Here is a 24,093-nt window from a genome sequence, read left to right as displayed (position 1 = left end):
GCTGCAGGTCTGTTGGAGTTTGCTGGAGGTCCACTCCAGACCCTGTTTGCCTGGGTATCAGCAGCGGAGTCTGCAGAACAGCAGATACTGGTGAACAGCAAATGTTGCTGCGTGATCGTTCCTCTGGAAGTTTTGTCTCAGAGGAGTACCCGGCCATGTGAGGTGTCAGTCTGCCCCTACTGGGGGGTGCCTCCCAGTTAGGCTACTCGGGGGTCAGGGACCCACTTGAGGAGGCAGTCTATCCATTCTCAGATCTCAAGCTGTGTGCTGGGAGAACCACTATTCTCTTCAAAGCTGTCAGACAGGGACACTTAAGTCTGCAGAGGTTTCTGCTGCCTTTTGTTTCGCTATGCCGTGCCCCCAGAGGTGGAGTCTACAGAGACAGGCAGGCCTCCTTGAGCTGTGGTGGGATCCACCCAGTTTGAGCTTCCTGGCTGCTTTGTTTACCTACTCAAGCCTCAGCGATTGCGGCCGCCCCTCCCCCAGCCTCACTGCTGCCTTGTAGTTTGATCTCAGACTGCCGTGCTAGCAATGAGCGAGGCTCCGTGGGCATAGGACCCTCTGGGCCATGCACGGGACATAATCTCCTGGTGTGCCGTTTGCTAAGACCACTGGAAAAGCACAGTATTAGGGTGGGAGTGACCTGATCTTCCAGGTGCCATCTGTCACCCCTTTCTTTGACTAGTAAAGGGAATTCCCTGACCCCTTGCACTTCCCGGGTGAGGTGATGCCTCGTCCTGCTTCGGCTCACGCTCGGTGTGCTGCACCCACTGTCCTGCACCCACTGTCCGACACTCCCCAGTGAGATGAACCCAGTATCTCAGTTGGAAATGCAGAAATCACCCATCTTCTGCATCTCTCATACTGGGAGCTGTAGACTGGAGCTCTTCCTATTTGGCCATCTCTGTGCCATTCTCTTGCAGACATCTGTAAGTTTCCCTCACATACTTACCTGTTGTAAAGCACTCAGCACTTAGGAGAGCACTTGATAAATATGCCCACTTACTTACTTCTGCCTTAAATATGAGTGTGATGTAGGCAGCCTCCCTCCTGGGCACAATTTTAAGCATTGCTTATGGTCTCACTTTCCTCTTCTACAAATTAGGTTTGTTTTCTCTCCCTCCAAAGGGCTTTCAAGGATAATTCAGCTTATAACCTGCCTAAACTGTTTTCTTCCTTTGTCATGTAATTCAGTTTTATTAGGGCAGCAATTGTGCTTTGGTTGGAAGCATTCACACCCAGCCATGCTGGCAGGTCTGAAAGATGTCATGTCAGCTTTCCTTTTTATTTTATTTTAATTTTATTTAATTTTATTTTTCCAACTTAGAGATGGGGTCTCACTCTGTTGTCAGGGCTGGAGTGTAGTGTCATGATCATATCTCACTGAGGTCTCAAACTCTTGGGCTTAAGCAGTCCTCCCTCCTCAGCCTCCCAAGTAGCTTTGACTATAAGCACATGCTACCATGCCCAGATAATTTTTGTTTTTTTTGTAAAGTCAATGTCTTGCTATGTGGCCCAGGCTAGTCTTGAACTTGAACTCCTGGCTTCAAGTGCTCCTTCTGCCTTGGCCCCCCAAAGCACTGGGATTACAGGTGCGAGCCACCTCACCTGGCCATCCTGCCAGTTTTCTGATGGTTTTCCCTCTAGTGGTACTCTTCAGATGCAACATATAAGTGCTATGGGTGGCATGTCCCCCTTATGATGGATTGAAGTAGTTTTTCAGCAGTGTGAGATGATGAAATTGAAGGTTTTAAAAAATGACTACTCATTCTATTTATAAGGCTTATAACTCAATAATTGGGACTTGGAAGGAAGAAACCCCTCAGCCAATGCATAACTCCACATTTTAAAGAGAAGCTCACCAAAGCTGAAGTTCAGCAGGAATACATCCACACAGGTCTACCACGTGTGTACTCTTGCATCTTCTCTGATTGATCAGTGCCCAGGCTGAACCAGTATTTACATATTTTGAATATATCAGTCATAGAACCAACACATTGGAATGGAAAAAATACTAGTCTTCAAGATTATCTTGAACTTTGGACTCATTTATGAGGCAACAACTTGGTCACAGCTCCATGCAACCTGGTTTTATCAAATCCCTTCTGTAAACACCATGTTAATTATCCTATTCAGAAGAATCTTTATCTCTTATGGTGCATCCAAGGTTCAGCTCATCTGGGTATGAATAGGTAGCTCAGCCTGTTCTCTGATTAGTGACATGAATAAGCAGTAGAACTTGTTCTGTTCCATTAGTCCTGAATGAATTGGTTGATGAGTCTTTACTTCTAAAAGTCCCACGTACCCAGACCACTGACTTCTGAGCTCACCCGAGATAGAATCTGAGGTTAGCACAGTCCTCCTCATATGTTTAAGAAAAGAAACAGAAACTATTTTTAGCAGTGGTTATTCTTCATTTGATGATGCATAAGAATAGGCTAGTAGAGTTGACACTTCCTTTTTTTAGCCTATCTGGGGAATTATTCACTCCATGTGACTTTTATGTACACCAGAATTCAACCCTTTAAAAAAAATTATCTTTGTATCACAAAAGTAATACATTATCATTGCAGAAAAAATTTAAATATGGTTAAGTAAAGAGTTCCCTAAATACCATGCTAACAAAACACTGTTACATTTTGAGATGGATTAGTCTAGTTGTCTCTTTGTCTCCCTCTTCATATTATGGGTAGCTTTAGAACTTGGAGTTCTTTTAAACCTCAAAATTAGAAGAAAAAAGTCTTTTAAACGGGTTTCAGATTTTGCTGTTTTAGAGGTTGTTAAAAGACTCAAATTGTCACTATGACCACTAATTATTGTCCTGCACAGAGTAATTTTCACTTGAGTCTCTTTAAGCTATCACTTTTACTACCTGTGTGTCTGCTTCTAGAAACCTGTGTTAATTTTCTGTGATCGAAAGAAAAAGGACAGGTGGTTAGAATTGTATGTAAATTAAAGTTACCTCTATCTTAATGAAGACTCTCCCGTAGTGTAAAATACGTGGACTTTATGTCATGAATTTTTGTAACCTATAAGCCTTTTATATTTCCTCTATGTTTTTAGCTATGTTTTGTATTTGAGGTTGCATGAAATTTTATCTCCGAATTAGAGGGATTTTAATATGTTTTGAAAAGTAGAAATAAAATCATTTGATTGAGATGTTTATTGGACTGAAATAATTTAAAAGTAAGATTTATAATTTAGCTAAGAAGTCATCTTAATAAGCTGGCATTATAAGCGTGTTAGTTAGGATGGGCAGGAAGCTTGCTGTGGTAACAAATAAATCTCCTGAATCTTAGTTGCTTAATATGTAAACATTTATTTCTTGTTTATGCAAAACCCATTCTTGGTCTGGCAACTCTTGGAGGTCAGTTGCTTCCAAGAGATATCTCAAGGAACTTGTAACCTGTCATCTGGGACACGTGACACTCAGGGTCACCAAGGCAGAGGAAGGGAGAGCATGCAGAACACACACCCCCTCTCAAATGCCTCAGCACTAAATGCTTCATTCCAGAAGTGATGCATGTCACTGCCACTCATAGCCCATTTGCCAGTACCAGGAGACTGGAAAGTATAATCTTCCCATATGCCCATAAAGGAATGGAGAACCAGATATGAATGGGCACTGCAAGACTCCACCACAGTGACCTAGGGTGAGTAACTATCTCTGTGACAAGGGGGTTGGCCTAGATGACTTCAGAATCCTTACCTCTTCTCACAATCACTGAGACAAAAGGTTTGATTTCTTCTTACAACAGCTTTATGGCTTTCACAAATTGACATGTATTATCTTTTTGTTACTCTAAAGACATGAATATAGGCCGCTGTGGTGGCTCACTCCCAGCCCTTTGGGAGGTCCAGGCGGGTGGATGACCTGAGGTCAGGAGTTTGAGACCAGCCTGGCCAACATGATGAAACCCCATCTCTACTAAAAATATAAAAATTAGCCAGACGTGGTGGTGTGTGCCTGTAATCCCAGCTACTAGGGAGGCTGAGGCAGGAGAATTGCTTGAACCCGGGAGGTGGAGGTTGCAGTGAGCTGAGATTGCACTACTGCATTCCAGCCTGGGCGACAAGAGCAAAACTCCATCTCAAATAAATAAACAAATAAAAACATGAATATATTGATACCAGTAGAAGGCAGATGCTTATGTTGCATAATGTAGCTGATGGTTAAGCTAGAGAACTCTGAGGGCAGATGATCTATTTTGAATCCAGCTTGATCTCTTACAGGCTATATGACCTCCAACTATCAGCTCTTTGATTGACTTCTCTATGACTTAGTTTTTTATTTTTTAATTCAAATGTAAAATGAGGATAGGAATAGTACCACCCTCACAGGGTTACAGTGAATATTAAATGAAGTAATTCTTGTAATAGCCTCAGAACAGTGACTGGAGCATAATAAGTTCAGTAAGTTAATTGCATTTTATTTTTTATTATTTAAAAAGATGACTGTCCTTCTTGCCCTCACTTGATAAGTATCTACATAGTAAGAGCTCAATAAATTGTTGTTGTTTTAATGATCATCTTTCTTGTTCTGGCTGGATAAGCCAGCCCAACCCACACAGATCTCTCTAATCTACAGACTACTAATAAAATGGAGTCACAAATACTACCTGTAGGTGACCTGGGGCCAAGACCGCCAACCTCTTTGGACTTGTGCCTTATCTGCTTTAGCTTAGATTCCATCCTGGCCTGGCCTCATCTTGGCTCTGAAATCTGAGTTGGATCCTGCCTTTGGCTCTTGCAAGCTCAAAATTCCTCATGGTTTCCCCCTTGTCATCGAGCTCTGCCTTTCTCTCACAGACTTTCCTGAGCTGGCCCCTTTGACTCTTAGGGAACCCACTTAGCTCAGGTGGGAACTTCCTGCCCTAACCTCAGCCTCTTAGGATCCAACCCCTGTGTCAGCCTCCAGTTCAGATGTCTTGGTCTCCACAAAGTTGAGGTAACGTCACATACTTCCTACATCACCTACTTTTATTTCATTGACTGCACCATTGAGCCTGGTATTTCAGATGTCTCCTGGCTCTTATAACCATCCCACATCAGTGATAAATCCAAGATGTTAAGTCCTCCTGCAGGCATTATACCTCCAGGTAGATATACATGAGCAATAACTTTTTCTTTTTCTTCCTGGTTCTAGAGTGGATTGTCCTTGGGAAGGAGTTAGACCATTGCAGCAAGAGAGAATGTGAGAAATGCTGTACATTCACTTCCTGGCATTGGGAAGGTCTGGTTCCCCTCCCCTTTTACTTCTTGGCTGATCTAATGGGGGGATTCTCTGAATGGTTGCCAGTGAGTTTGCTCCAGGAAAGAGAACAATTCTTACCTGGTGGGTTTCCTCCTCAGGTTTGATTCTGCCCAATATAAGAAAGACCATATGCCTCCACGCCAAGCTCCTCTCAGACTCTCCTCCCTCCTTCCTCACATTGGCCTGAGGGAGCATCGATTGAGTCAGGGTGGACTTTGATGTTATCATTTGCTTTCTGCTTCTCTTGGTCCTTTCTTTTTCAAGTTCTATCAAAGGACAGTGTGGTATTTTTTTTTTCCACAGGTGCACAGCACAGGTGGGAGATATGAACCATCTGGGATTTATATAGAGGGCAAGCATTACATCAGAAGATATTTCCACCCTGTCCCTGAAATAATGATAAATGCAACTGCATCCTGCTTTCTCCCAATCTGCCTTTGTAATCTTGTATAGCACACAGGTCAAATTTGTCATTGCCAAATGAAATAAATTCTTATCTGTGGTTTTAGAAAAAGATAAATCATCAGAGAATAATTTCCAAAGACTCTGAAAAAGGTTCTACAGCCCCCCAGTGTTTATCTAACAGTGGAGAAATAGGGACATTTTGCAATTCTAATTTTATCCAGAATTTAAACTCTCTGGATGTGTCAAAAATAGCAAAAGATAGTTTTTTTCACTTAAGGTTGAATTTATCAAAGTTCAATGGGGATATCTTTAGAACCAAGTGTGAGGAATATACCAGGAAAAGGTAACTGTGCTATAGAGTTTAAAATGCACACAACCTGCCACTCTTGGGGCATCCAGAATTAATTAGTCCATAATTCAAAAAATAACTAATTTGCTTCCTGTTATAGAGTGAACAGAGGAGTTTAAAAAACATATTATCTATGTGATCTTTTAACAAGGTAGGTAGGTTCTTGTTAGTCTCTGTGCTTTTTTTTATGTATATATAAGGAAATGAATGAAGCTCAGGGAAATTAAGGTCACTGAAAACAAACAAACAAACATGCAAACATACACATCTTAAACTTTAGATTTAAATCCCAGTTCTTTTCATATCCACAATGCTTCCCTTTATCTTTTTCCTTTGTTTTGAAGGCAGAACTGGGGTAAATTTGAGGGAAGAAACTCTGTAATCCTGGAGTAGTTTTATCTGCCCTGCTGTCTGAGAAAAGCAGAAGATTGTCAGCATCTACCTGTTACTCTTTGCTGGGATCACGGGCTTTGTAAATTTCCTGGGGGAAGGAGGGCAATGATGTGCTCTCTTGTTATGCTCTATTTTCTTCCAAGCCCTGCCACTTTGGTCAGAGCCGAGAACTCCCTCACAGAATCAACCAGGGATCTGCACCACACTGGGCCATCTTTAGTTGCAGTCTCAGGCTTTCAGGCTTAATATATGATGGATGCATAAGGGGTTAAATAAGAAACATTCATTTCAGCTCAGAACAAAAGATGCTCCTCCTCTCTTGCTTGCAGGTTGAGTTCAAAGTAGAATAGAGACCATTGGAAAGGTGAATCTACAGTTAACTTGTGATGAGACTGCTTTGGGGGTCAAAGAGATTTTTCAGTCTTATGAAAAACCCATGAAGTAGTAAAGTACCACCATAGCATCCCTGTGTACTGAAAACAAATTTCTTTTTGGATCCAATAAAAATGCATTATGGCAGACTGCACACTACTTTTAACTTTAAAAATGTTCCCAGAGGCAACGTGCATACACAGAGTCCAGTTGATTAGAATGCATGTATTCTTTACAGTGAGGTCCAACACTCACTTCTGTGAGATTCAGCTTGGCCATGTTCTTAGTTGGAGATAACAGAATCCACTCTAGGGAACTTAAAAAGAAAAGGATTTATTAAGGGATTGAGATAACTTGCAGTATTATTGTGAAGGCTGAAGTCAGAGAGTTGAAGCTGAGCCCCCAGGAACAACTCCCCAGCTTAAATTGCAGAATTGAGCTTCTTAGTGGTGGGCTACCTTGACCATGTTCACACAGCAAGGAAGCAGGCTGCAGCATCTGGAAACAGCCACCAAACTACCAGTTCAGAGCTGTGCTGCCATGATCCAAACCATGAAAATGGATGGCCCATGCCCTGATTCACTCCCCAACTGGCTCAGTTCTGAATCAAAGTATCATGCCAATGCATCTGAAAGGCAGAACCTAAACTCTATCTGGAACTCTAGGCAAATGGGGGTCCAGCTTCTCTGTACACTAGAATTTGAAATGGGTGTTGACTGGAGTGTTCTGCAGTATCTGCTATAGTGCTCCTTACCTACCTATCTCCTGTCAACTAGCATTTTCAAGAACAAAGCTTATGTCCATCCATCTGTCCTCCCATCTGTTCTGCTAACTGTCCAACCAACCATCCATCCATTGATCTGTCCATCCATCCAACCATTTGATGTTTGCAATTTTTATTAATATACCATTTCTTTTTTTAAATCTGTGTTTCAGAATGCGTCTCTAAAACATAAAAATTTCTTTAAAAAGTATAATCACAATACCATTATTATATTTTAAACAATCCCTGAACATTGTTATATATCTAGTCAGTGTTAAAATTTCCCCCATTTCGTAAATTTTTTGTTTTTGTTTGAATCAGTTTCCAAATAATGTTGGTTCTGAGCCTACAACATACAGTGGTTTGACCTGTCTCTTAAGCCTCTTTTAATCTGCAGCCTCTTCTCACCTTTCCTCTCCTCTGCCCTCCCTTTCCCTGGCCATTTCTCCCTTTGCCTCTGCCCTTCTCTCCCCTCCCTAATCCATTCTTGCTCTTGTTCTTGTCTCCCCCTCACCACCTCCCCCTTCCTACTTCTTCTTCTTTCTCTTCAGTTCTAACATGTTTTTTAAACAAACTGGATCATTGGTCTTACTATCTCACAGTCTAAATTTTGCCTTCTGTACCCCCATGTTGTCCTTAACATACATATTCAGTTGTCTTTTGTATTTCCTATGAACAGGCACTTAGATCTAGAGGCTGATCCGATTTAGGTTTCGCTTTTTGGTAAAGTTGAGAATGTTGTACAGATGGTTCAGAGGTTGCAGTATGCGGTTGTGTACGTGGTTCAGAGGCTGCAGTATCTTGTTGTCTCTCTTTTTCTCTATTGGTGACTTAATCAGCTATTGATGATCTTTTTCTAGATCCATCATTTCATCAGGGATTGCAAAATATTTAGATTCAAGTTTGTCATTTCTTCCTCATTTATTAGCTGGAATACTTTTATCATGAGAAACTGTCCCTCATCAACTATTTGGCTTTCCTGCTGTACATGCATGCAGGAAAAGCAGAGTATATCCTTGACTTCTTGATTCCTACTCCTCTCCTTTTTTTAAACCAATTTTAAGAATAACAAATTGGTTCCCTACCATCTTTTTAAAAAGTATCATTATGACATCATGGATTTAAGCATATTTGATTTGCTTCAACCCATTGCAGTTATTTTTTAAATTGATGCTAAAGTTAAATAATCTTCGGTTAGTGGGAAGCGCTCTAGTTCTTTAGATACTGTCTTCCTAATTTTGATGACTTTTTTGACTTCTGGCATAATAAAATATTCCCAGCTTAGTTCATGTAATTCCTGCCCCAGACCCAGAACCAGCTGTTTCTCCAAGGATTTCCAGTTTCTTTCAGCAAGAAATGTTATTTAGAGATGACAATCTGGATGCTATATATAACAGTATATTTTTTCTAGAAGTTTTTTTTTTTTTTTTTTTTTTTTTTTGAGACAGAGTCTTGCTCTGTATCCCAGGCTGGAGTGCAGTGGTGCGAGCTTGGCTTGCTGCAACCTCCACCTCCCGGGTTCAAGCGATTCTCCTGCCTCAGCCTCCAGAGTAGCTGGGATTACAGGTGCTTGCCACCATGCCCAGCTAATTTTTTTTTTGTATTTTTAGTAGAGATGGGGTTTCACCGTGTTAGCCAGGATGGTCTTGATCTCCTGACCTCGTGATCCGCCCGCCTCAGCCTCCCAAAGTGCTGGGATTATAGGCGTGAACCACCAAGTCCAGCCAGAAGTTATTTAATCTTTAATTACTCTAAGAGTTAAATAATGAAAGAATATGGCCCTTAGCACAAAGTATATGAAATTAGCACCATGCCTTCTAAGACTGCATAAGTAAAATATTAAGAACAATTGTGATGCTAGTGATTATTGCTTAATGATTTAGGAGTTAGGGTTTTGGGAGAAGTATTCTTCCAGCTTGAATACAATTATTCATCAGCTGCCTTTACTTTGTGCTGATTAGTTTTTCCCTCTGTGATGGGGTGTTAAGAGACAGAGGACATAGCTTTGCTCCATCAATTGCTAGTAAGGAGTGAACGCATAGACTTTCATATCCTCAGAGGCTGCCATGCCAAGGTTCAGGTCAAGATGATGTAGACAATTATAATTTGGTGAGAGGCAAAAGCTCTTGTCTAGGAGTCTGGAGACTTGGGCTTACATCCTTGAATACCATTGCTGAATCATGCTCACTTTTAACCACCCTTATGTGTTCTGAAAATTGGTGTCTGTTTCCTCCTCTGTAAAATGGGTAGAGTATGTTTACATGAGTAAATTTTCGGGGGTGTAGTGTGGAGAAGAACAGTTAGCTTATCCTATCTAATTGGATTCATGAGAGGATCATTCCAGACAGAAATAAAATATGTGCACAAGTTAAAATATTCACAGTGACTGTATCTTCATCTCACCCCAGGGGAGTATTGAGTCTTGTTCCTGTCTGTAGGAGTCAGTTGTTTTGATGGGCGCTTGGAATCTTCTCAATTCTCACCCCATTATTGTTCAGTTATGGACCCTCAAATGTAGACTAGGAAAGGTGACACATTATGCCATTGTTGTCTACCAAAACCCTGGTTAAAATAATCTCATCTGTCTAGATTGTGAGTCACTGAGCAGGACTCTGAATGGGCCGTAGCATGGCTCCTTTTTATGATGGGGAAGATGGCTGGGGAAGTCTGGAGGAGACCACAGGGCCAGTCAAGAGGCCTCCCCACTGCAAGGGAGAAAGGTGGGAGAAGGAAATCCAATGGAAGGTCACTAGTGGGTATTTGTTGTTTTTATTGGCTCATCAGCTATAGCACCTTGATTTTATTTTGGAGAACTACTCTTCTCTCTTTGTGAATGTTTTTTTTTAAGATTCCCAGTTAAGTATCCCTTCAGATGAAAGGATAAAGTTATTATATAGCTGTCTTTCAGAAATTGGCTCCTGAGTGGAGCAACACAAGACCTAAAGTAGTTGCAGTCCATCCATCTCAATGGTGATGCCCTGAAGAGATTGTTCGGTAGCTCCTGCTACCTAGATACGCAGAGATGCCCTGATTCCTGGCCATCCTGATCCTGGGTCTGCAGCTTTTCTTGCTGTCTTCCAGTGAATTTACTTTTTGTCTCTTTTTCCCCTCTTTTCCTACCTTAACTAGATTTGGTGTTTGCTTGCAACCAAGAATTCTAACATAAATGCACTAAAAAAACCTTGTTTAATATCATGATTTAATCTTTCTCCCTCTGTAGCAGCAGAGAGAAATTTAAGATGCATTACTAAATGCCCTATCTGAAGGAACTTGTGTCTTTAATACTTCAGTTGGAACTTTGCAGGCCTGTCTCTGATCAAACTCTGCAAGGAATTAAGCGGCTTTTATGGCCTTCTTTAAAATGTGTCCTAGACAGCTTAGATTTTACTAGGGAAAAAAAGGGAATGGGTTGGTTGGTTTCTTTATTGCTTCCTTTGTCTCCATGGTCCATTGTTTAACTTCATGCTGTAGTCTATATTCTCCAAGAGGAAGGAAAACATTTTATTTCCCCATTTCAAAAGTGATGCATGCCTATGATAGAAAATACCAAGAGACAAAACAATGAAAACAAAACCACCCATAATCACCAGATAATTACCTCTTAACATTTTCCTGTACTTACAGTCTTTAATATGTAATATATATAAAGTATATGATGTATATAAAGTAAACATATGTAATGTTTACAAATGGGATCGTATTGTTTTATAAACTTAAAATTACTTAATATTTGGCAATTTTTGCATGTCATTAAATTATTTTCAGTGTGATTTTTAATAGTTGCATAGCAGTCTTGCTGTATTAGTTACTACTCACATTTAGTAAATCTAAAATTTTGCATTCTTTTTATGAGCACTCATAAAAATTGATTAGTTTTCTGTTCTGAAATTGGTGGAAATATTGCCCATTGCTATCCACAGCCCACACTGATGTCCAGCATATATTACTAATCTCTTTGCTGTAGAACGACCAGTGTTAAATGAAGTAGGTGTTTTTTTTGTTTTGTTTTGTTTTTTTGTGATTCAGGTTATAAGCTTTGCACAGAACTTGTCATGCTGGAAAAGTTACAGAAAAAGTGAAATGACCTTCAGTCCAGCAGGCCTTCTGCAACTTCTATCTTTGATAACAGTCTGCCCTAAGAGAGAGTTCATGTATAAGCCTTTTGTTATCAATACTCTTTAATCTCATACTTGTACCAAGCCCACAAAGGTATGCTAATGAGAGCTCTAACACTCCTGGACTTGACTGAAAATTTTTCTCAGTAGGTTTCAGAAAGTGCTGAGAGGTGTAAGCCCAGCAACGTGCAAGGGGAAAGGGGACAGGATTCTGGATGGCCATTTGCTTCACTGGGATGCAAAACCTCTTTTGAGTACTAGAATCAGGTAAGGACAGCTATGTTTTCTTGGGGAAGGAGGGAAGGAGGGCTCTTGAATTATCCTATTGTCTCAGAGATCTTGAAGAGACCCTAAAGCTTCAATTTATCTCATAGCTTTGGAACCCTCTTTTGCCAAATTGTTACCTTTTACTCTCTCCTTGAAAAACAGGGACCCCGTTATGTGAAGATGTGGCAAACGGCTTGCTATTGTGCCATGAGAGCCTCATTACTGAGTTTTCAGGATTATTACAGATTAAGTGTGAACCATTATAAAATCTAGAATCCTTTAAGATATAATTATTGGCTTAGCTCTACCAAGGAGTGTTTCATTCTAAAGGCAGGGAAGGCATCTGCTTTAACATTCAAATTCAGATTTTAATCACCAATGAGAAATAAATAGTGCTAACCCAAGTTTTAAGTTCCTTAAAGGTGGTGGTCAAGTTAGCTAAAGTGGTTCAAAAAGAATGTTACTGTGTTGGCAACAATTCTGGCAGCTAAACAGAATGATGAAACACATGAGGTAGATCATTCAAGTCCACGTAATAGGTGGAAACACTAATGTTAAATCAAGTGCCATTGTTGAGTGGCATAAAATATCATCAGCTCACCAACGCAAAACTAGAAACAAAAAAGAAGTATTATTTTGTACCCTCTCTGTTTGATACACAGGCTTCTAACACATGACCACATTTACATACACAATCTGCCTGTCCATGCTCTGGGGTTGGGAGGTCCAGCTGTCAGTCATCTTGGCTAGTAGGAAGGCTTAGAGAACCAAAGCCCTGAGCAAAAACTAGAGATACTGGGTTTGAAGTTTGCTGGTGAAACAGCTGCTAATGAGTAGTAATTATCTGTAGATCCTTAGAGTTCAGAGGCATGTCTTAGATGTGTTTCCTGACTCCTGGAAACTGACAATAGAAGTTGATCATAAGTCACAGATCTGACTTGTTTTGCTCCACATTTGAAGTTGTCCCTGCTGCTGGTGGTTAAGGGCATTATGGTGGTGATAAGTGGATGAGGAAAGCTTCCCAATAACCAGAAAATTTGGGAAGATGTTCCAGTCTCTTTGCCCACTCCCAGTTCAGCCTACCCTCTGAAGTGTCTGCTGTTAGACTGATCTTTCACCTCTAGCCCAGGAATTGCAAAATCAAATGCTTGCACAGACCAGGTAGTAACTTAGATAAATAAGGCCTGCTGGGTAGAGATTGGCAGGTTGAAGAATATATCCCCCATCTAAAGAGAACAACAGCACTGAGTTTTAGGAAACTCTTGGCACACGGGAATGCTGGCTCAGTGTCATCATATTTTACGAATTATTTTAGGAGATAATTTGAAATTTCAGGATTGTAAATGTAAACTCTTTATAAACTCTGAATGCTATTTTTTTATATCTTGTTACCTAAGTCAAATTGAATAAAAAATTGACTGTACTAAATACATCTACATTGTTGCCATTTATTAACTCTTGGGGGTAGCAGCATCTTAGCCACAAATCCCCTATTTTGGGGGCAAATCCTGGGATTCCAATACCATTTCACCTCTCAGGCTTCCTAAAGCACAGGTTAAGAAAATGGGCTCTGAAGGTCCCACCTGTGATTCCAATCATCCTTTAACACTAGCCTCCTGTAAATTCCCTTAAAGGACAGGGAAGAGCACAGACTCTTTGCTACTTTGGAATCTATTAAAAAATGCTACCAGTTTGAGCATTTATTGAACAAAAGAAGTACTGTTGCTTCATCTCATCTTATTTTTATAAGAAATTTATGAGATAGGTTTTATAAGAACTTTGAGATAAGATGATCATAATCATATTCCTATTTATAGATGGTGAAGCTGATGTTCAGTATTGGGGGAGGATTTCCCAAAGTCATCCAGTAAGTGGCAGAAATGAAATTTGACTGCTGGAGTCAGATTTCAAAACTAAATTTTTAACCACCATATTATATTTCTTTCTATTACATTATATGGGGTTTTAACTTGTATAGTTCCTCTGAGTAATGATTAATTCTCCCTCCCTTAAAACATCTTAAGGAATCTGTAATGACATTTGATACTTTTGTAGAACATAGGAACATTTTAAATTCTCATCCTTTGATACAGGGTTTGCAAAGTGTTTGGGATCCTTCTGATCACTGAAGGGGGATGTTTTTTGTAATGCCTGCCTTCAGACCAGAGGTACTAATTCCCTTTTCCATGCCCATTTCTCACCAGATAGTAATTGAAAGTTAAAACATAGAGTGTAAAGGCCAAAGTTACGGGTTTCACCTCCAGGTGAACAAGATAATTCTACTAAGTCCATGACCACAGAGTACTGTCCTAACCCCAGCCAGCCTTCTCCCAAATACAAGAAGTATGCGTGCATCAGTCATCCTTGTTAACAGAGGCACTCTCAGCCCAGACCCATGTACAGATCCATAAACAGCATCATCGCCATAAATGAAAGCAGTGTGATATGGCTGAGGAATGCAAATAGATTTTAGCTCAGTTGAGCTCAGTGGCCAATGCTAAATCATGAATGGTTGCTGCCAGGAGGAGTGTTGTGTTGAGAAAGATTTGGAAACCACATTCGAGCTTTTCAAAAAGAATGCTGTAATTGATTGGTCTTGTCTGCCATGGGCTTGGTCTATGGAATGAGTGGTAAGTGCTCTGTACTTGTCGTTCTTGGTATAGTCTATTAATATGAAAGAGCTAAGATATCTTAACCTCGGTTGGCTTAAAGCATTTGCATTTTAATTTGTGATTTCTTCCTCTTCAGTATTTCTTCTTCCATCTCTGCTGTACCTGAGAAGAAATGGCCAAACGCACCTTCTCTAACTTGGAGACATTCCTGATTTTCCTCCTTGTAATGATGAGTGCCATCACAGTGGCCCTTCTCAGCCTCTTGTTTATCACCAGTGGGACCATTGAAAACCACAAAGGCAAGTGTCATGGGCTCTCTTAGATGCAATTTTTAGGCCTGTATGAAACTTCTTGATTACTGTGGACACCAAAGAGAAAAACAGTGTCTGCTGATAGTTCTACGTGTACTTAAGCAGCCTGGAATAGCCGTCTCCCTTTGCATTAATTGCCCATTCTGCATTGATAGCAATTTTTATCAAGTTTACCTTTGTCCCCAATAGCCAGCTGACAGGCATTCTGACATGTACTTGTTTGCCATTAGTTTTTCCATTGATCTAAGCACAGCTCAAGATTCGTCAAGGTCTAGTAATGGCAGCTTTTACCATGAGCCTCTAATCTTTCAATTTGCCTCCTTGTAGACATCATTTTCTCCTGGGGGCAAAAGGAGAATGAAAGACTCACTGAATGAATGTCAATTAGTCTGTGAAGAGCTTTAGAGAAAGGGGTCTCAAACGTAAATCCTTACAAGGGCTAATCAAGTTTTGCAGATGAGGTGGAGTGAGGAGGTGGACCAAGGAGGAGACAGGTGCAATTCTTGTGAAGAAGGCCTACAGCCTCTCCCAGGTGGCAGCTGTTTGTTGTAGAGAGAACACATGATCTCAGATCTCCTGAGTTTTCCAGAGAACCTGGAAATTGGAATTTTTAGATATCTCATGATTTTTTAAAATGTTGGAAACAAAGTTTTTGAGAACAACGTAGGCTACATTTACACAAAGATTGGCAGTGGGTCTTGGTGGAGCCTCTGTTCCAGTCAGTGTTAGGTTACATAACTGTTAAATGAGTAGAGAAGACTGGTAAAGATTGAAGCTCTGACCAAAGTAAAGACAGGGCTGGCCTTAGGCCAAATGGAGAAGATGATATTTTCTACCTCAGTTTTCCCTTTTGTAGCCTGTCTCTTTTCCTGCACATTCTCTACTATGTCCCAGGGCTTTGAATTCCTGGCAAACACAGAGGATCAGAGATCCTCTGATCCAGCAGTAGGCACAGCAGGGTCATAGACTGATAGAAGTGAAAGGATCATTAAGAATTATTCAGTTTTGGCTGGGCCCGGTGGCTCACACCTATAATCCCAGCACTTTGGGGGACCAAGGTAGGCAGATCACCTGAGGTCAAGAGTTTGAGACCAGCCTGGCCAACGTGGCAAAACCCTGTCTCTGCTAAAAATTAAAAAAAAAAAAAATAGCTGTTTGTGGTGGTGCACGCCTGTAATCCCAGCTACTCGGGAGGCTGAGGCAAGGCAGGAGAATCGCTTGAACCCAGGGGTCAGAGGTTGCAGTGAGCTGAGATCACGCCACTGCACTCCAGTCTGGGTGACAGAGTGAGACTCCATTTAAAAAAAAAAAAGAAAAATAATTATTCAGTTTTAGCTCTTAAAATTAGGAAATCAGGAGGCTGAGACTCAGGGAGGTTATTATTAATTACAGCAACTATTCTTATGGCAGTAGTTACTGTTTATTAAATGGTTTCTATGTTGAGCACTATAGTGAGGATTCTAGAATATTTTCTCATCTAATTCTCACAAAAATCCTATAAGGGTGGATGCTAGTCCTACTGTTTACATTAGTTTCATTTTACGCTTGGGGAAACGGAGACCCTGAGATTGTAAATAACTTACCCTTGGCTATGTGTTAGGTTTGGCTTTAGTTGGCATGACATTCCTATGCTGGTAGCAGTGAAGCAATAGCGAAGGTGCCTGCTCCACTCCTTGCAATATTTGATGTCTTCAAGAAAATCTCGGCTTGGGAATGAGAAGACATGGATGCTAACTCCACCTAGAATTTGGTCGAAAGAGCATCAGATCCTGAGTTTGAGGATCTGGATTGCATACCAGATTCATCACATGCTCTCCATTAACTATTGGTTAAGTCACTTTTCTGACTTTCAGTTTTCTCATCTGCAAAACTGAGGAGATTATGTTAGGTGATCTCTAAGTTTTTTGAGCTCTGAATTTCCAGGATTTCAGAAAGAATCAGCTATAAATCTCTTGCCTAAGTACTTTCTGACTACAAATGCCTTGTGACACTGATATTTGATGCCTTGGCAACTCCTGACTATTGTCTGAGGAAGGGAAATAAACAAAATGATGAATATATAACATGTCTAAATAGGTAAAGAAAATCAAAGCTACATAGTAGCCATTGTTCTAAGTTTATAATATTAGTGAACATAGTTATTGTTCAAAACAGCCCCAGGAAGCAGGATATTATTATAATCTCCATTTTATAGCTGAGAACATTGGGGTGAAATAGGCTAAGTGATTTGCTCACTTAGTAAGTGGTAGATTCAGGTTTCAAACCCAGGCAGTTTGTTTCTGCATCTGTCTTCTTACAAAAATCCTATATGTCATTCTGCTTCCCTTGATATTTGTATGTGTGTGTATAATAAATATATATGCATACATTAATATAGAATATATGTGTATAAATACATACACATAAAGATATGAATATATAAATACTAGAATAATTAAGATGAAATTATATCAACATGTATACAGTGATCTAGGTTGCATTAAAAATAAGTCTTCAGAAGGTCAAAGAGGATCAGAGCCAAGGTAGAGCCAGTGGGGTGGCATCCTGCAGGTGAGGAGTTGAGTCGGATCTAGCTGTGATGGAAATGGACTAACTCTGAAGCAGGTGGTGGAGTTTGGTAGATGGAGAGGAAAGGAGTGAGGAGTCTGGATAGAAAAAATGGAAGAAACCAATCCCCAGATATTGGATTTAGTAAACCTGGCACCTGTTTAGTTTAGCTGGAAAAGAAGAGCAGGGTGTTGAGTGAAGGCAGTGAGTTTGACAAGGAATGGCTCGTGATGAGGAGTTGAAGGATATTTGACAGAGGCCTTGATTGTTAGTCTGAAATATTTCTCATCCTGTTTAGGATTATGATTTTTAAACAGGTTCTTGAGCTGTTCCTGTCTATATATTTTTATGTATAAGAAAATATATAAAGAGTTTTCCTTATGAACCTGAGCCTATATATTGTGTTCTAATTGATGTTGACAAATAAGAGGGCTGAAATGTTGTTTCTCAAATCTCTTATTCTGTTTTAGATTTAGGAGGCCATTTTTTTTCAACCACCCAAAGCCCTCCAGCCACCCAGGGCTCCACAGCTGCCCAACGCTCCACAGCCACCCAGCATTCCACAGCCACCCAGAGCTCCACAGCCACTCAAACTTCTCCAGTGCCTTTAACCCCAGAGTCTCCTCTATTTCAGAACTTCAGTGGCTACCATATTGGTGTTGGACGAGCTGACTGCACAGGACAAGTAGCAGATATCAATTTGGCAAGTAGACAATGGGCTCCTTAAGGAGACTGTGAAACAAGTAATTTTATTATTTTACAACCTGCATTCATTTCTGATTATTACAACATCATCATTATCTTCTTTTAGCTTTTTAATTGACCTTGCTGCTGTCTAGCACTATGAATTTCATACTAGAAGGAAGAGGAAAACTTTTATTCAATCACAACTCCCCTGTAAAATCCATTGGCCTTTTTTTTTCATGAGCAGAAGTGGCAGAGATGGCAAACTCAAATACTACAGGGGGTGAGCAGGCACCTTAAATGACATCACCAGGCCAGTGTAACATAAGAAATGTCTAGTGAATGCTCAGTTTGGGGGTGGGAGGTAGTAGGAAATGGTGGGAACTTTGAGGAAAAAAAAAGCACAAATAAAGTACATGAATCTAGCTGATTGTTGCCATGTAAGAAATGGGGGCTCAGGGCTGCCCTATCTTGCAGTTTTTTAAAAGAAGCCCCCAAATCCCCAGATTAAAGAGTTGAAGATTCAAATCTCTTACTTAAAAAATAAAGGCAACTCTAGCTAAAACTGGAAACCTAGGTTGGACTAATACTGTGAAAGCAAATAAAACTTCTATGTGTCAGGTATGGCCCTATTGACTGCTAGTCTTGGCTATGTGATGGAAATACCCATTTATGTCAGTGCTTCACTAGGAAACCAGAGCATGAAGTTGTCTGATGGGATTCACTCCCTCCCTCCAAGTAATCTTTACTTTCCAGATATGATTCTTGACTGTGTGTTCTGAAAAGTGATCCTGGAATGTGAACCCTAAATAAACACTCCCAGGAGGGGTAATGCAAACAGTAGAGGGGGCATTCTAAAGACCTGGGTGTAGTTTTATGGGTAAATTTTATGACATGGTGAGAGAAGTGGCTTGGGATAGGTGTATGTGATCTGATTTGGTTTAAGGAGTTGTAGAGTCCTGATAAGTCAGGAGTCCCAGGGTTGGGGAGAACAATTGTTCTGAGAGATGGCTAATCATGGACAGCCTGCTGCCACAACATCTTGTTCCCAAATACCTCACTCTGCATGTAGCCCCAGCAGCACAACGTCGTTCTGCATATGTCCCGCTCCAGCGTGACCCTATAAAATTTCCCTCCAGCTCCTGCTTCTTTGCAGACAGCCCCTTCTCTGCTGTGCTGCCTGTTGAGCCCTTGCAACATATTTTCATACTTTGCCTAATAAATCTGCCTTTCTTTACCTATGATTGTCTTGGTAAATTTCTTTACCACCCCATGTCATGGGCAGTAAAGGAATTTACCAGCCTGTTGCACCCACGACAGGAATGATACTATGGTAAAAGCCAGGGCGAGGTACCCTCTGTGAAGAATACTTAATTATAAATATACCACTTTCTTCAGAAAACAAAATCATACACTAAACAACAAACATGGGAAAGCCTTCAACCTTTAAAATGTTCCTGGGCAATGTGGGATGGAGGTAGAGGAAATATTTTTTCCTGTAGTACCTTAGAAGGCAGGAGAAGAAGAGCCATTGCCAAAACCAGAAAGGCCAGAAAGATCTCTCGTGTTAGTGTTAGTAACAGAATTTCCAAAGCCTCACCAGCTCCCTCCTGCCCATAAGCCAGGGAACAGCTTCTGCCAACCTGATCGATTCTTTGCCTTTGCATTTTTCTACACAGAGGATTCAAGCCTCTTTTATGATATTTTTTGGCTTTCTTTGTTCCTTTTTCTTTTTAATTTTTGAAACATATATCCTCTCACTCAGAGCCACCATGTCATGTGGATGTTTTTCTTTGTTTTTCTGCAGTCGTCTATATTGTATGTTTGTGCCTGGTTTCTAGTAGCAGGGGAATGAGACAGAGCAGCTCTGATTGTCTCTTCCTCTTTAGATGGGCTATGGCAAATCCGGCCAGAATGCACAGGGCATCCTCACCAGGCTATACAGTCGTGCCTTCATCATGGCAGAACCTGATGGGTCCAATCGAACAGTGTTTGTCAGCATCGACATAGGCATGGTATCACAAAGGCTCAGGCTGGAGGTAAGTGATTTGAGAGGAGAAATGAATGAAGAAATGATATGGTTTAAGGAAAAGTGGGTGAATGTGACAGGAAATAATTCCTCTTGGTTTCTCATTCAGTGAAATTCTATTACCTTCAATATTATACGCTCTGGACAATATAGCAGATAATCTTACAAGGAAAATGATCTTCACTATTTCAGTCTAAGTTATCTTGGTCAAAATTTGCTTTCACTTCTGCTGATGACTCATCATCATTATTAATGCTAATGTTTTTGTTGAAAGCTTATAATGTGCCAGGTGACTTTTATATATATATTCCCTTATTTAATCCTCCTTGTTAGAAGTTGGGAGAGCACCCATTAATCACTAAGCACTTCTTCAAGTTCTCAGACAATTGAGAATACATGTGAGGAATCGGATGCGAATTAAAACGCAACATTGAAATGAGGTTGACCGTGAATTGGTAGTTATAGAAGCTGGGTAATAGGCACATAGGGATTCATTATAGCATTCTGATTATTTTTGTACAAATTTGAAATTGTCACATCCATACAAAAGGAGGAGGAGGAGACGGAGAGAGAGAGAGAGATAGAAAGCGAGCAAGCAACCAACCAAGCCAGTGAACGATAAACTTCCAGTTCTAACTTTCTAAGGCAATTTCTAAGCCCTGACCCAGTACTATTTTCTGCATGGAATCAGGTCACTAAGAGAGAATGTGTTCTGTTAATGTCTGCTAACATTCATGAATGTGAGAAAGAAGAGCGGCTGGAGCATTGACCAGAACAATGATCATAAATGTCCATCATGCAATGTCAGGTTCTACTAGTCTAACCTATTAAACACTTTCCTCCTGCTGTGTGAAGGGGCCAGTGAGAGGGATAATGAGATGGCCTAAAAGCATCACTTTAACATTGCTCCCTCTTGGGGAGGAGAGCGGAAGCCTCCCTCATCACATGTGGGAAGCATCCCCACATGAGGAAAAAGGGATTAAGTGTTTTCCCCACTTCTGCACTCACAAAACAGTGAGGTGGCTTTGTTGGTATTTCCATTTTCTGTATAAGAAAACTGAGTCTTAGAGAAGGTAGGTAACTTTCCAAATTTCACACAGTTAGCAAATGGTAGAGCTGGATTCTGAACACAGGTATGGTTAATCCCAGAGTCCACATTCTTTTTTTTAATTTTTTATTATACTTTAAGTTCTGGGGTACATGTGCAGAACGTGGAGTTTTGTTACATAGCTATACATGTGCCATGGTGGTTTGCTGGACCCATCAACCCGTCATCTACATTAGGTGTTTCTCCTAATGCTATCCCTCCCCTAGCCCTCCACCCACCGACAGGCCCCAGTGTGTGATGTTCTCCCTGTGTCCATGTGTTCTCATTGTTCAACTCCCACTTAAGAGTGAGAACATGTGGTGTTTGATTTTCTGTTCTTGTGTTAGTTTGCTGAGAATGATGGTTTCCAGCTTTATCCATGTCCCTGCGAAGGACATGAACTCACCCTTTTTTATGGCTGTATAGTATTCCATGGTGTATATGTGCCACATTTTCTTTATCTAGTCTATCATGGATGGACATTTGGGTTGGATCCAAGTCTTTGCTATTGTGAATAGTGCCACAATAAACATATGTGTGCAAGTGTCTTTATAGCAGATACATTCTTAAAAGTGACATTATTCTATACTCTTAGAAGGAAAAATGCATTGACCACTTGCTTTTTGTAAGGTACTTTGCTAGTGTCACTTCAGGGGACACACAACTAAATATGTCACAATTCATCTCCCTTATGAGGTCATTTTCTAGGTGGTGGATAGAAGGAAGGACTATGAAATATAGAGATACACAGAAATATACAGTTAGCTATAATTAACCAAAGGAAGGTACAGTGGGATAGTAATTGTCTATTACTGAGTAGGAAATTACCCCAAACTATAGTGGCTTAAAACAACAAACACTTATGATTTCACATGATCTATGGGTCAGGAATTCTGTCTTGGTTAGGTGGCTCTGGTTTAGGTTCTATGGCAATCAAGGTGATGGCAAAGGTTGAGTCATCTGAAAGCTTGACCCAGGCTTGAAGGTCCACTTCCAAGATGGTTTGTTCATGTGGCTGTTGGCCAAAGGCCTCAGTTCCTCACTCTTCCTATCCTTACGACACAGCAGCTAGATTCCCTCAGAGTGAGTGACCCAAGAGAATGAGCAAGGAGGAAGCTACAGTGCATTGTATGACCCAGGTTTAGAAGTTATACACCGTTACTTTCACCCTGTTCTATTCATCAAGCAAGTCACTAAGTCCAGCTCACACTCAGTGGTGAAAAAGTAAGCTTTACTTCTTGAAGGGCAAAATATCTGAGACTTTGTGGACATATGGTCTTTTAAGATCACCAATAGGGATTCAGGAATGCAAATTAGGAAAACATTTTCATGGTGGAAATGACACTTGAGTGAGCAGAATTTTAAATGGTTAGGATGGGAAGGCAGAGAAATCTGATGGAAGAAACAGAATGAACACAGAGAGGCACAAAGGAGGGATGTAGACTCTTTCATGAGGGAACAGAGGAGATCTATTAGGACATATGGAGGCATGTAGTTGGAGATGTATCTGGAAGATATGTTTATCATAATTGCAGAGGGCCTTGAGATGCCAGCTTGTTTTTAATTCTGTGGGTGATATGGACTCTGAGAAATCTTCTGAGTGGCGGAGTGATGTAAACACCATTTTGTTTTAGGATGATTAAGCAGGTAGGGATGTTTGATATGGATTGGAATAGAGTGGAACTAGAAGTGAGGACAAAAATTAGCAGATTCTTTAAAGAGATACTGAGGCTTTATTGGTGAGGGTCCAGTTAAGAAAACAGTAATCATCATACTAGGTATTTCAAACAGAGGGATTTCACCCAGGGGAGTTTTACAAGATGTTAAAAGGCTGAAGGAACAAGAAAGGGAAGCTGGAGTTGCTGGAAGGGTTTTTATTTTTTGTAACTTTGCCTAACAATTTCCCCCTTTATCACGTGAGACTGGCACAAAGATCTTAAACCAATGTGATGGCAGTGAGACTACGTGGTGGTGGGATAGGAAATTAAATGTGAGTCAGCCGGGTGTGGTGGCTCACGTCTGTAATCCCAGCACTTTGGGAAGCTGAGGCAGGTGGATCACTTGAGGTCAGGAGTTCGAGACCAACCTGGCAAACATGGTGAAACCCTGTCTCTACTAAAAATACAAAAATCAGTTGCATGCTGGAAGGAGCCTGTAGTCCCAGCCACTTGGGAGACCAAGGCAGGAGAATGGCTTGAACCTGGGAGGTGGAGGTTTCAGTGAGCCAAGATCACTCCACTGCACTCCAGCATAGGTGACAGAGTGAGACTCTGACTCAAAAAAAAAAAAAAAAAAATTAAATGTGAGATTTGGAGATGAATAGACATAAAAGCCAGTACTTAACATAATATTCATGCTGAGTCTGGAACTCTTGTCAGTGCCTTGTATGGATTAATGTACTTATTCCTCCAAACGACTCTATGAGGGAGGTATTATTATTATGTCATTTGACAGATTGAGAAACCAAGTTTGCAGAGGGCCAAGTAACTTATCCAAGGTTGCACAGCTAGGAACTGTCAGAGTTGGGATTCAAACTTAAGTGTTTTGGTGTCAGAATTCATGCTCATTTCTACTATACTATACTGCTTTTCTGAAAAATGAGATGGCTCTAATTGGGAAATAGTACGGTCATTAGCAGAAATAAAAGAACCAAAAGGTAGACTTTGGCGGGTAGAGTGGGGAGGAGTTTAATGTGTTGTTTTGTAGGTGTTATCAAGTCAATAGTGGGCACCATTTTTCTATCTCTTCCTATTTTTACATCTCCGTGCAATCTGAGACCCAGTGGGAAGGCTGTTAAATGAACCCACTTAGTTTTCCCAAATTAACCCAAAGGAAGGTGTGAAAAATAAATGTAGCTAAATAAGTGTCATTAATATTATTTATAACACCTGCTTCTATGTAGGTT

At 40.6% G+C, this 24,093-nt stretch overlaps 1 protein-coding gene across 2 annotated transcripts in view, besides 3 other annotated features; it reads left to right on the top strand.

The window, feature by feature from the left end:
- Window positions 2,059–2,158: an enhancer, noted in NCBI's record as "active region_3357". NCBI's record gives its function as "activates an Ori minimal core promoter by ATAC-STARR-seq in GM12878 lymphoblastoid cells {active_cell/tissue: GM12878}" and the evidence as "EXISTENCE:reporter gene assay evidence [ECO:0000049][PMID:35858748]".
- Window positions 2,239–2,308: an enhancer, noted in NCBI's record as "active region_3356". NCBI's record gives its function as "activates an Ori minimal core promoter by ATAC-STARR-seq in GM12878 lymphoblastoid cells {active_cell/tissue: GM12878}" and the evidence as "EXISTENCE:reporter gene assay evidence [ECO:0000049][PMID:35858748]".
- Window positions 11,550–11,844: a silencer, noted in NCBI's record as "tiled region #2427; HepG2 Repressive DNase matched - State 5:Enh". NCBI's record gives its function as "represses a minimal TATA promoter and a strong SV40 promoter by Sharpr-MPRA in HepG2 cells {active_cell/tissue: HepG2}" and the evidence as "EXISTENCE:reporter gene assay evidence [ECO:0000049][PMID:27701403]".
- Window positions 11,797–24,093, top strand: part of ASAH2 (N-acylsphingosine amidohydrolase 2) — a 66,656-nt gene continuing 54,359 nt past the window's right edge. For both annotated transcript variants that reach the window (NM_001143974.3, NM_019893.4), the window contains exons 1-4: window positions 11,797–11,918; window positions 14,667–14,829; window positions 17,859–18,091; window positions 19,962–20,111. In NM_001143974.3, coding sequence (NP_001137446.1) covers window positions 14,703–14,829; window positions 17,859–18,091; window positions 19,962–20,111 — 510 coding nt within the window. In that variant the 5' untranslated portion in view covers window positions 11,797–11,918; window positions 14,667–14,702. The remainder of the gene's footprint in view (window positions 11,919–14,666; window positions 14,830–17,858; window positions 18,092–19,961; window positions 20,112–24,093) is intronic.

The sequence above is a fragment of the Homo sapiens genome, chromosome 10 (genome assembly GCF_000001405.40).
Source record: "Homo sapiens chromosome 10, GRCh38.p14 Primary Assembly".
Taxonomy (NCBI): Eukaryota; Metazoa; Chordata; class Mammalia; order Primates; family Hominidae; genus Homo; species Homo sapiens.
This window is presented reverse-complemented; position numbering and strand designations above follow the sequence as displayed.